Here is a 13,565-nt window from a genome sequence, read left to right on the forward strand (position 1 = left end):
TGATGTCTTTTTTCCCCCAGTAAGTCTCCAGGGCAGGGAGGGAAAGGGGGAAAAAGGAAAAGAGTTATTGGCTTGTGGGATCCGCACTGTACCAGCAGCTACTTGTCAGGAACATCAAGGGTTTGTTCCCAGTGGATGCATGCTCTTGATAACAGAGAGATCACAGCAAGCCCTGACCTGACCAGAGGGTCTGCCCACCTAGGACCCCAGCCTATTGTTATGTTTCACGGTGTTTTCTTGAAATAAAAAATATTTGGGTTATATCTTATTTATCATTTCTTCTGCCTCTCTCTCAGCCAAAAAAGAGGAAATATCAACTGAAGCAGACAGATAAGGCCCCCAGTAGGGGAGGAGAAAGTAAGGGCCTTGTCTGAGGTCCCAGAATGAGCAGGTGCCATGCCTGGGTAACTCACCATCATAGCCCCCAGCAACTTGCGGTTTTGACATAGGGTAATGCATAGTATTTGTTGAATGACTGTGGCCAAACAGGGGCTTGGGCCTCCGTTTCTTTATCCATACAATGTGCTGATTCAATCATATATTAAACATTAAAGTTCACAGCCAGTGCCTAGCTCAGGGAATACATTCTGTATTCTTAAGGTTTGTTCAATTTCTACAGCACCATTTCTTCCAAATTTATTAACAGCCCAAGGTATTCTCTAGAGACATTGGAGGGGTAGTTCTCAAAGTGTGGTTCCTAGACCAGCAGTGTCACTATCACCTGGAAACTTGTCAGAAATGCAAATTCTCAGGCCCCATACCGGACCTACTGAATCAGTAATTCGGGAGGTGGGTTGGTGGTGGGGGGTGGTGGGCAGCAGTCTTTGTGTTAAGCCCTCCAGGTGCTCCTGATGTTTGATCAAGCTTGAGATTCTCTGCTAAGATACAATTTGGAGCCTAATTTGATACTTAAATGCAGCAACCAACTCAGCCCAGTGACCTCCACATTTATTCCCTGGCCCTTTTTTAAGTGGATTTTCCGTTTTTTTCTTTTACTCTTATGTTTTATGTTTTTTAAACACTGAACACATAACCAGTTCTAGAAATAGGAAGCAATATCAATCTCAAGTAAATAATAATTCTAATGAACCTGACCTTCACATCAATTCTCATTGCAAATACCTAGTCGCCCCATAATAGTATAGTAAGTATAATTTAGAATTACTTTATTAGAAAGTTATACATATGTATTTTGAAGATTTTCATAAACATTCACTCTCATTTCATACATATAAATATACCTTATATAAATATGTACATATAAAATAACCATTTTCTTATAGAATGTTATTTATAATGAATACCTCCAACACTCCAACCTCTTTGCCTCTACTTTTTTACTTTGAGATCCTCAAACAGCTCATTAGCAAGATTCTTTGGATTTCCTAAGAATATCAGTGCTAGTACTCAGTTACTGCAAAGTTCAAATACAAAACTTTTCTGCTTACCTAATTGTGTCTTGAGTGCATCTGAAATCTCAAACATTAGGGATGCAGGAAGTTTTACAGTAGTTTCATTAAGACCTGGAATAATAAGGTGGACTGCAAGGAAATAGATGTAAATAAGATAAGGGGAAGAAAGTGCATCATGACATAAAATGAAGCTCAGCACATCAGATATTACAAACTATGAAGCATAGCACTTATTTTGCTTAGTAAATTTTAACCCAAACTTTAAAACATTGGAAAAAATATAACCATACATTCTAAATAGAATATTTTTCATATTTAACCAAACTTCTAAAATCCTCTGGCTTTTAATCCACAGACTCAAAAATTGTATAATGGCTGCTTAAGATGTGTGGTGAACAAAGATTATTATCAATAACAATGATTTTTAAAAAAGCAGTTCAGTCAACTCTGTGGGGCAGGTAGGACAGGTGCCATCATTCCCACTGCACATGTGCTAGAGCTATTTCTTTAACACACCATGATAAAGATAGCGTGGCTTGGCTCCTAGCCTGGAATGGACACGAGCCAGGATGCTAAACAGTGAAAGGAAGTGAACCACATCAATTAAACAGAACTACTCACACTGCAAAACTCCAGAAAAGCCCTATCCTCAAAAGATAGCCCGATTTGCTTAATCTCGGCATAGATTTCGAGATCCACTCACCTAGTATCACTCCTCCCAGTGGAGCTTTTTCTGGGGATTTAGCTGAATCCTTGTGAGTAACATTCTGAATCACTGTTGAAATACAAAAAGACAGTGTGAGGGGGTGGGAAATAGGAGGCAGTAAGAAGCTAATAATGTGAAGCCATCTGCACTGGAAAAGCCTTGATCTAACTTTATTAATTAATACAAAGCAACTCAGTGGCCTGGCTATATAGCCAACAGAAGGATTGGAAGGCATACCTTACCTTAACACCTATGCCCTTAACTAATGAAAGGCTATTATTCTATCATAAGGTGTTCCATTCTAATTACTGGAAAATTTTCTTCCTAACTCTATTCCCTGAAGCTTTCCTTTTCCCCAAATCAATCAGTACTAGCACAAAATGAGGTGATGACCCAGCAATAAAAATTTAGAAAATTTATTTTCTCAAAGAGCCTTTGAGTAATATCAACACTAACTGATTCTGTTTTGAGAATACACTTGGGATGTTGTGTTTTCTGAAAATGAAGAACTATTTTTTTAAGGGCCCTGTCTCTTCTACCAAGAAACTTTCTGGAAATAATAGATTTTAATAATTTGAAAAACCAGAAGCCAAAACAAAAACAGTCAGATACTGACGTGAAGTGACATTATAATTCTGGAAACCTGGATATCTTTACTTTCCTTAAAGTGACCACTAAATCAGTGGGTTTCTTCGGGTATGACAACTTAATCTTGGGCAAAGCTCCACATATTTAACTTGTTTTAAAAAATTTAATACTTGTGATGGTTGCTTTGTCCTTAGTTGTCTGACCAGTGTGACCAGCCCAAAGCTTGGTGTATTGGTAAAAGAGCCAAAATTATCCATTAACTTCCAGTTTACTAGACCATTATATTTTCTTTGAACTTTTTCTCAAAAAAAAAATCAATTAAAAAATCGAGAAAATATGTGCCGTGTTTGATTACCTTAGCTAAAAGTATGTTAAAGATTGCTCTAAACACATTTCCAGAGCAGACAAATTACCTTGCTTGATGATTGTTATTGGGATTAGTTTCCTTGGGACATATGCTGGCTGCAAAGAGAAGAAGAAAGTCAACTTTTGAGTCATTGTGAATAACTTTCTGTTCTTTAAAACGTTCGGAGAACTGGAAGTAGCCCTTTCTTGTCTTCAATGAAGTCTCCTGTGACACTGGTTTAATAGTTGCTGGTGGCGGGGCGTGGTGGCTCACACCTGTAATCCCAGCACTTTGGGAGGCTGAGGCGGGTGGATCACCTGAGGTCAGGAGTTCGAGACCAGCCTGGCCAACATGGTAAAACCCCATCTCTACTAAAAATACAAAAAAAAAAAAATTAGTTGGGCATGGTGGTGGGCGCCTGTAATCTCAGCTACTTGGGAGGCTAAGGAAGGAGAATTGCTGGAACCTGGGAGGCGGAGGTTGCAGTAAGCCGAGATCATGCCATTGCACTCCAGCATGGGTGACAACAGCGAGACTCCATCTCAAAAAAAGTTGCTGGTTAGATTGTTAGTACATCCATCTGCCTCTACTTTATTGGATTCACTTGGTTTCCCTCATAAATATCCCAAGGTTTGACAGAAGCAATTTCTTCAGAACTCCCATTAGTTCACTTTACTTAGAAACTGCAATGGAAAGAAACCAAATCTTCTGTACTGAATATTAGTTTATTTTCATTACATTTGAGATATGACACCGCCAAATTGTTTTTACAGTCCCTCTCAAAAAGATGCTAAGCTACCTATTATCTTTGAAAACCAATCAAGATCAATTGTTTGAGTGTATCCAATTGCTGCTGCTGCTGCTGTTACTACAGATACCACAACTACCATGAGCTCCCAACGCCAAGCACTTATTGCTCAAGAAAGCACAGCAAGGACTCTGATCCAGATATTTCTTATTCCACAGCCTGTACTTTCAACCATTCTGCACATGTTTATACACAAAGGACCTCAGAATCAGAAGGACATATCCCAGAGGACTCTGCTTCCTCTCCTCACCCAAATTACCTCAGAAGTCCCACAGGAGGTTCTGACGTCATAAAGTAGCCTGACCTAGGGATGGGTGCAGACTTTAAAGCAGAGTCATTGCCAGACATAATCATGAGGCCAAGGATAAGACAGACTTAGAGGGACACAGGGTAGGTGAGGAGAAGGGCAGAAAATTATACACAGGAGAATTAGAGTTGAGTTGAAAGGGCAAGACTGATGTCCACTTTCTGATACTTGGTTTAGCCTGTATACATGATACAGATATGGCATATACTAGACCTGTTGATCATCAAGGATGTGCTGAATATGAGCTGCTTACCAGATAGGTGTTTACATGATTACCAAATCCCTTACAAGGGCAAACACCTGGTAGTGAGCAAAACATACTTTGTGACATACTACCATTTTAATAAGTGATATCCCTCTGATAAAGAAGGGACAATATACCAGGCTTACTGTTAGCTATTTTCCTTATCATATTAAGGTTCTTATGTTTTAAAAAAATCACAACGAATAAAAGTTTACTATTATCAGATTATTTTTTTAAAGGGGTGCCTGCATGCGTTGACTCAATGATTTCCTCCTTAGCAATCCGGCCTAAGGAATTAATCAAAGACAGTGTTTATTATCATAACTTAAAATAAATTTATTATCCAAAAATAGAGGTTTTATTAAATGATAGTTCAAAAATTTGACTTGTATTTAATAAAATGGAAAAATGCAGAATATAAATAAGTACCAAGGATACAAATTTGCATCCACAGTATAACACAATTTTATAAATACATGTATAGAAAAGAGGCCAGAGGGAAATAAATCACTGTTTCCTTAAAACAGTATTTATTTCTTGTAAGCCAACATTCATTTTATTTTGTGCACCTTTCTATATTTGCCAAATTTCTGGTAAGGGCAAATTACATTTATAAGCAGAAAAAGTTATTTTAATCAACAATCTGTTTAGCTACCACACATGCTTCTGTATTGCAACTTAGCTCATACACTATTGATAACTAGAGGAATGACGCAGATATAATTTAGACATGCTCTTTCTTGGCAACAGGAGGAAAATAGTAGGAAGATAAGTATAACTTTCAGTGGGGGATAAAAAATACCAAACTCTCAGCTTTGCAGTTATATGGGCAGGAGGATCCCTTTTGGCTTTATTATAAAACTATTACATGTGAGCACTTGCACAGAGATCCTTCCCCAGGGGAGAAAAGTTAGGCCCACCCTTGGCACTCTGCACTCACTCACGAGCCCACCTTAAGAGAAGCCCCACCAGCTTCTCCACCTGTGCCTGCTCCAGCAAAAGCGTTGCTGGCATATAGCCTCTAACTCCTCTGAGAATTTTTATTTGTTCATGTTAAAACAACTTTTATTTTTTGCTATTTTTAAAATCATTTCTTTCTTCATAATTGTATCTATTTCTGGGGTACGATGTGATGTTTTCATCTAAGTGCACAATGCGGGATGATTAAACCAAGCTAATTACCATATCCACCTCCTCACTTACCTGTCATTTTTTTGTGGCAAGGCATTTGAAATTTATCTTCAGCAATTTTGAACTATACATTAATAGTAACTACGGTCACACTGCTGTGCGATAGCACTCTAAAGCTTACTCCTCCTGCCTAACTGAAACTTCCTACCCGTTGTCAATATCTCCTCACTGCCCCCTTGCCCCTCACCCCCTGGTAACCACCATTCTACTCTCTGCTTCTATGTGTTTGACACTTCTGAGACTTTTAAGTGCTTGGCATGGCAACCTTCAACTACATGGGAGCTGCCAGGCAAGAGAGCCACATTATTTTTCTAGGTACCAATAATCATTTTTGTTCAGGCTGTGGCTGCAGCTGCAGAGGCTTTTGAATGGCCTGTCCTCTATTTGCCCTACATCTCCTGTCACTTAGTGCACATTTTGTACTTAGCGCACGTTTTGTTGAATGCGAAGTCTTTCCAAGATACTTAACACATTAGAGCAGAAAAGCCTACATGTTGCTATGCTGCTGAATTGCATTATACCAGTTTAATTTTCCTTGTTGTAATGATTTGTTTCAAACAAACCATTTTTTGACAAGGACAAATGGAAAATATTCTGCTCTTCACATGAATGGAACAACGTTTCTGTTCTGAGTTCTGACTCCAGTACAGACCAGTGTCCAGTTACAGACCAGTGTCCAGTTAAAGTGACAAGAACATATGTACAATATGTGCTGCCAAAAATTAAAAAATCATTTAGCTGAAGAATGCAATTTTTTTTCTAGGCCTAGAAATGCTCTCCTGCTTAATCCACAATCCAAAGATGCATAAGGACTCTACTAATGAGCAAATAGCTGCGTCTCTACAGGTAGGTTTTTAAAGGGCATCAGGAAAGTCCTGTGGCTCAATATGTCTCTGCCAACACCTCTACAATTTCCATTCAGAAATTCACAATGTGAATCCTCTCCTATGTCTTATCAAATAAAAGGGCAGGGAAAAGTTTGTTAACCAGACTCACTGCAAAATGAAGTACTGTGATAATTTCCAAGATACAGTGTTTAACCAATTACAATCCAATCTTAATAGAACTGTTTTACGTACAATGTTTTAAAAAAACATTTCCTTGCTGACCTTTCCTTACTTTTTCTAGGCTTGTTATTACGAACAGCTATTAATGTACATCAGAGTCACAGATGTAGACAGTGTGGGGCCTGGAAATGGGAAGGAGGCAGTGACAGCCCCGCAGGCTCCCACACTGTTTTGGCTGGTGTGGCCTCAGCACGATACTGCTGTCCTCAGACACCACTCTGGCAGCGATTTTCCTTCTTAGTCATTCCCTTGCTGGCTCTCTTTTCCCTACAGCTTGCCGATTCCCCCATTCTTGCTGCAAACCTCTACCGCTTCTTCCTTCCGTAGTTCTTGTCTTTCAATGTTTACTAAATGGCAGGAAGTAAGCATATTTCTTTCTTGTCCTATAATAGATTTTTTTCTTCTTCATTTCCAGATATCCTGTCCATTACAAACCCAGGTTGGGCTATGCCTTGAGCAGAAGTCTGGTTAAGATCGTTTATTTTTACTGATTTTCTGGGACACTGTGGCGAAGCATGCAGTTGGTGACACTCAATAAGGAGAGACTACTAGAGTCTAAAGGGTGATGCCCCGGAGACAAATGCAGCATGCTTTCTTGCCATGGCTAGGAAAGCATATGCTTCTTTAGAAATACCCACAGTAGCAGCAGCAGACGCTGCTACCACCACACATGACAAGGAACTTGCGTCTCACCCTGCATTACACTAACTTCCTCCTGATAATATATTGAAAATTAGCTGTAATAAAGTTAGTGATAACTAAGGATGTTATTTTTTGTAGGTTTGTCCATTTGACATTTTTGTGGCATCAGAATATTAGTATTGTAGGTTTAACATTATTTTCAGGCCCCGAGATAAAGAGGAGCTGTCCATTTGGGTAGTGGTTAAAACAGTGGCTCAAAGTCAAATTTCAATGACTCAAGAGTCAAACCACATGAGAACTTGGGCATATTAGATTCTGGTTTTAATTCACTTCTAGGATGTTCTAATGAAAGTTACAAAACATACTGACTCAATCTAACATCTGGCTAAAAGTCAATCTAATGTCCTACTTTCAAAAGGCTTCAAATTTCTGGTCAACTTAACCTTTGATGATGTATTAATAGTTTGCCTACACAGAAATTTTTCAAGTGTCTGCTTGAGACAAGGATTGCTAAGAATGGAAGGATGCCTGATACATTCACTGTACACAGTCATAAAGTGTGGGTGGGGACCATAAAGGTAATCTCTCTTCACATCAATCATTTGATAATTGTTACATTTTAACAAGTGGTACCACTTCTCTTTTTGATGATAGTAACTGTGGATTTCTTAAAATATGGGTGGATCTCTGATGGAAAATAAAAAAGATAAAAATAGATGTCATATTTTTGGAGAACACTGATTCTAGGAAGATTTAGATTAAATAATTAAATTTGCTTTCAAAAATCTGTTAATAAGTGCTACATACTTCAAATATTGATTTTGTTTAGCTAGTTAAGTAATACATTTTTTCAAAATATAGAAAATGTATGAAAATATTAGCCATCATTCTTTATTTTTTAAAATAATAAAACCTAATAGTAAACATTAGGTTTTACCTTCAAAAAAAAGAGTGTCCTAGATTCTCTAAATGGAAAAAAAAAGCACAAGCATCATGATAAATGTATCTTTTTCTTCCTCAATCATATGGATCTCAAGTGATTTATTTTATATAGAAAGAATCACAGTTTTGTTTCTGCATATGCCCTTTCTCTGATTTTTCTAGAGGTATAGGTAGGAGCAATATTGAAAACATTTAACAATTGGTAGAACAAAGGTACTAGCCAACCAGAAGAGATTCCCTGCTATATGTTCTGGGCACAATTGCACTGGGGCTTGCCTGTCAGCAGAACACATATCTAGATATATGAATTACAATATATAGTGTAACCAGAAGGGTAGGATGGGCTGTATTTTGTATTCAAATTTTTGACCTAAAATTTATTTATCTGTAAAATGGACAGCCTACAGTTCAAGTTGTTTTTTTCCATTCCGAATACCTCTTATTGGAAGGTGTTCAAGAGTTTTTGCTGCTTCTAAGGTTTCAGGTGTAAGCATGTTCATATGAATAAAAAAAGTTTTCAATGTGTCTTTTTGCTTGAAATCCAAAAAGCAAAACATGTGAAATTAATTTCATATCTCTTGAAGTATTGCCTTCTAAGATAGGTCTCAGAGAAGAGATGGGTGAATAATTGGGTATACACTTCTTTGGACTAAAATATACCTCCAAAGTATCAAACCACTTCTCAGAATCAATTGTATGTGGTCACATAACATGGTCAAAGTTATCCCATGCAGTTCTGTTACTACTTCCCCATGTTCCACAGCTACCTGAGAGCAGAGATGTAAGTTCATATATATATAATATATATATATATATTTTTTTTGCTGTCCAGAAGGAAACAATAAACCTTCTCAAAGAAGGCTTAAAATATCTTTTTAATGAATTTGGTTTTTCCTTTGGAAATAACAAAGAGTTTTAAACTCATCAGAGCTGGCTGGAGTCAGGATACTCCACCTCACAGCTTGAAGTGATAAAATGCCTGGCTCTGTGTCATGCATGCAGGAAGTTGCTTCCTAGCCCTTCCTATCATGGCTGCTTATATTGAGGGGGAAAAAAATTAAATTCCCTGAGAGTAAAACGTCAATCATCTTTCCCAATCTTGCTGAGTAACTCATCCTAAATGAAATATCCTGCCAAGACAAATACAAATTACTGGGATATGATAGCTGAAAAGAGGGAATGAAAGAAATGATATCATGGAGTCACATGAAAGGTTAAGCATGACAGCCAAGAGGGTAGGAGACAATGTATGCTTCCTAGGCAACCATTCACAACAAAGAATGAGGATTTTTCTAGAAGAGGATGAAAGAGCAATTCTATCCCACTGTTTTGCCTGTGAGGTACAGCAGATCTACGTTTCCTATACAATGTTGACTGGATTTAAGAGACAAAGATGAAGGGAACTTAGGGAGAGGCACAATTCAATACATAAATACACAGTACTAAGCCAATTGGTTATTTGGGGGAAAAATACATAGCCTAATCAATATAGAACCTTACTATATACCATAGTTAAATAAAATTCACAGAATTATTATAAAATCAAACCACTTATAAAACTAAAAGAAAGGAAAGAAATATTTATCTGCTCTCTGGAGAGGGAGGGCCTTTCTAAAATATAATGCAATTGAGATATCACAATGGAAAAATCTAATAATTTGGTTAAGGAAATTTCATGAGTTGTCTATTTCAAAAATGTCTATGAGCAAACTTAAGCTATAACAAATGTGAGAAAAATATTTCTAGATAGTATCATCAACAGGTCAATGTTTCTTTAGTGTATACAGTCTTAGACTATATAGTTCTAAAAAGAACCCATGAAACGCCCAACAAACAAAGAACTGCAAGAGAATGTCATTAAATGGAAAATACAACTGGCTAATAAGTGAAGAAACTACTGCTTTATCAGCAATCAGAGAAATAAAAATTAAGATAACAATTATAAGCTATTACATTAGCCAACAATTTAGCGATGAAAATATATAAAGTTGACAATCAGGGTACTATAGCAACATAAACTGATACATTGCTGGCGAGTTTATAAATTAGTACCACTTTTCGGGAAAGAAATCTGACCATAGTATTAGGAAGGCTTAAAAATGTTAAAACTCTAAACTGTTAATTCCTCTTCTAAGTATCTATTTTAAGGAAATGATTAGCATTGTGAACAAAGCTTTATCACAAGTGTTCATAAACCTATCATAAGTGTTCACTATAACATCACCCACAATTTAAAAACAATTAGAAGTAACTTAAATGCCTACAAATTGGAAACTTATAATCATGCACTTAGATCATACAGTACACAGCAATTAAAATTATGTTTATGAAGAGCATTTGATGATAAGAAATATGTTCATAACATTTTGACCAAGTGAAAACAGCAAGATAGAAAATTGCAAATATAGTATGATTTTAATTTGTAATGAAAACATGTTTAGAAAACAAAAGATGTTCTAAAGTTTTACCAGACTATTAATGGTTTTATACTACCCTTATAAGTAGTTTTGTTATAGGTAACCTTGTTAATGCTTCTTTTCCCACTTAACATTCTAAATATTTAAGTATTAGACAATTAGAAAAGCAGCAAAACCTAAAAACAAAAAACCAACCAAACAGACAAGTTAAAAAAAAGAGAGCGAGAAAAAAAAACAGGCCTAGGAATTTACCTGCAATCTCTTTTTTGTATTTATATCTGAAATACATTGAAATATTTTCCTAGAAATTGTAACAACCTCATAATTACTATTTGATAATAATTTCACAATGAACACACTTTTCTGCCATTTCAAACCACATGAACAACATTTGCCTTAGGCAGATTAATTTTTAGTCAGTTCTACTTTATCTAAGACTATTTTCTGTTACCAAAACCAATCTTCCTTTTTTTGTTTTTAATCCCAGTGAAGTATATACTACTATTTTTTTTCCAGACTGGGCCACATGATCCATGGGGCTATTCTGTGGACTCCTTAATTAGACATAAAAAGATGTTCAGCCACACACCTCAAGCACACATCTCAGAGAGCAAAATTCCACCCACAATAGTCTTTGCACGTTCATTTGACTGTAGGATACTTCCAATATCTAGGGACCAAATTCCCTTCTTCTCACCGAACTGCCTCCTCTGTCTGCCCAGTAATATAATGTCCTTTGTTACTCTTAATGGCAAAAGCTGCAATTATTTTGGCACCAAACTAAATACTGGGTATGAGATTTGAAATGCGAACATGTCTGTGGTGGCTCTAACAGTGACTTACAGTCATCCCAGGTGGGGTGGTATATACTAGACATGATGCTTCCTGAGAATAGATTTTGAAAAGTGGAAGGAAAGAGAGCATGAGAAACCGAGTGGCTGAAGTGACAGAGAAAAGGATGTTTTTAGATTCATGGGGAAATGCCTGGTTCATAAAACGCAAACATTGTCTGAACTGAACAGAGACTGGGCATTTTACAAAATCAAACTGGTTGCTCCATTGTTGTGAAAAAGACTGGCTCTTTTAAGTAGGGTATGATAGAAAATAGAAAGGAAAGGTTTGAGCTGTAGCAATGTACATAAATCATGTATCAATTTGCTCTTGAAACATTATATTAAAAAGCAATAGACAGAAGATAATATGTATAACCTTGAAATACCCAGAATACTAAAATATTAGAATAAGCTACATTGAATCTTAGAATTTTAGAACTTCAAACAAATCAGAGATGATTTGAAATCATGCTTTTACTTAGTATTAAGAAAAAGAAACTAATTCCTAAAACTAAGTACTTTCTCCACTGTTTCATAGCTAGTCAGTTAATCTAATTTCAGTATCTTATAATAAGACTATTTCCTTAACAATGCAGATACAATTTTTTAAAAACATTCTTGAAAATAAACTGTTACATACCACTGTGTGGTCTTGGTCATAGGTACTTTGGATTTTCCCATTTACTTTTTTACCTGATGAAACAAGGGAAAAATAACATTATTTTTATTCTCCTTGCTCCTAAATCAACTCTAGCTAATCATTATGAAGACAACTACAACTCATCCTCTAACTTGGATGTATAATTTTAATCACTATCATTTTAAACACTGATGCCAATGAAGTTTTAATGACGGGATGACTGGAAGAAAGCTCAAGGTTCCCGAAAGTCTTTTTATGGGCATCTCTACTGGTCTAGCTTTCCATTCTGAACATTGGTACATGTTATTGTTTTTCTGGTTCTGTTGGTGTTCGCAGGTAGGGATTGATTTTAAACTGCTGTAATACAATAGACAACGACATCAATGGAGGCATCAAATATTTATTACTTATTTTAAAAATCACTTATAACTAAAGATTCTGAAATATCAATGCTCAATATATCTTCTTTGCTTCTATATTTTCATAAATACTAGACCTTAGGAATTAGCTTATTTCATATTATACAATGAATAACATAATTAAAAATTAGGTAACTAAGAAAAAAATTATAAAAGCTTACTGAAACAAACATTTCTAGGTACTTACTTCCAACAACAGTCTTGTGATTGAAAATCTTACTCCAAATTCCACCTTCCACATTGTCTTTCACTCCAAATTCATAAACTGTGTTGGGCTTTAGGTTTTCCACAATTGTTTCAGTGGCTGGACAGATTTGAAAAATCCACTTCTTTTCTTTATCCTTTTCTCGATAGCGAATTGTATAAAATCTGTTGAATAACCAGAATATAATGCTTTAAAATCACAGAGGGATTCAGAATGTTATTTCAAATTTCTTACTTCATCACAGATTTCAACCAACTTGGGATACTATTTAATATTGGCTTCTCTTCCGATTTTTAAAAAATTTGCAGAGAACATGAAAAAAATAAGCTCAACGTGTGCTTAGGTTTTTAATTTCTCATTGCAAGTTGGAGTCTTTGCAGCAGCACAGTTTTGGCCCAATGGAATTCCAGAATTCTCGTTCTATTATTTGCTGCTTTGCAAGATGAAAGTTGGAAAACACTAGAAAAAACGTAGATATTACACTATGTATAATATTCTATTATACATAGAGTAGAACATAGGTGCCATTTTATAATTATTATGGTAGTTTCATAGTTGTATGAGTTTAAGCTTTTTCATCCATGAAGGATATGTTAGAGGTAATATCATTCAATTTTGTAAAAAAAAGAACCTAAGACTAAGATGTATTCAGTACTGCATTTTAAGGTTGAGCTGTTTTTATTATTAAAAAGAAGACCAATAGCCAAGTTAAGAGTCAAATAAAAAAAGTTAATGCCAATTCAATATCACTGTTATGTATTTACTTAGGCCTTCATAATATTCATATATACATAAATA

The 13,565-nt window shown here is 36.0% G+C and overlaps 1 protein-coding gene across 57 annotated transcripts in view; it reads right to left on the bottom strand.

Annotated features, from left to right (window-relative positions):
- The window catches only part of ABI3BP (ABI family member 3 binding protein), a 244,266-nt gene that overhangs the window by 124,237 nt on the left and 106,464 nt on the right, over positions 1–13,565 (bottom strand). For all 57 annotated transcript variants that reach the window (XM_006713572.4, NM_001377332.1, XM_047447926.1 and 54 more), the window contains exons 5-9: positions 12,750–12,931; positions 12,144–12,196; positions 3,120–3,168; positions 2,116–2,187; positions 1,449–1,541 (exon numbers count right to left, since the gene is read on the bottom strand). In XM_006713572.4, coding sequence (XP_006713635.1) covers positions 1,449–1,541; positions 2,116–2,187; positions 3,120–3,168; positions 12,144–12,196; positions 12,750–12,931 — 449 coding nt within the window. The remainder of the gene's footprint in view (positions 1–1,448; positions 1,542–2,115; positions 2,188–3,119; positions 3,169–12,143; positions 12,197–12,749; positions 12,932–13,565) is intronic.

The sequence above is a fragment of the Homo sapiens genome, chromosome 3 (assembly GCF_000001405.40).
Source record: "Homo sapiens chromosome 3, GRCh38.p14 Primary Assembly".
Classification (NCBI taxonomy): Eukaryota; Metazoa; Chordata; class Mammalia; order Primates; family Hominidae; genus Homo; species Homo sapiens.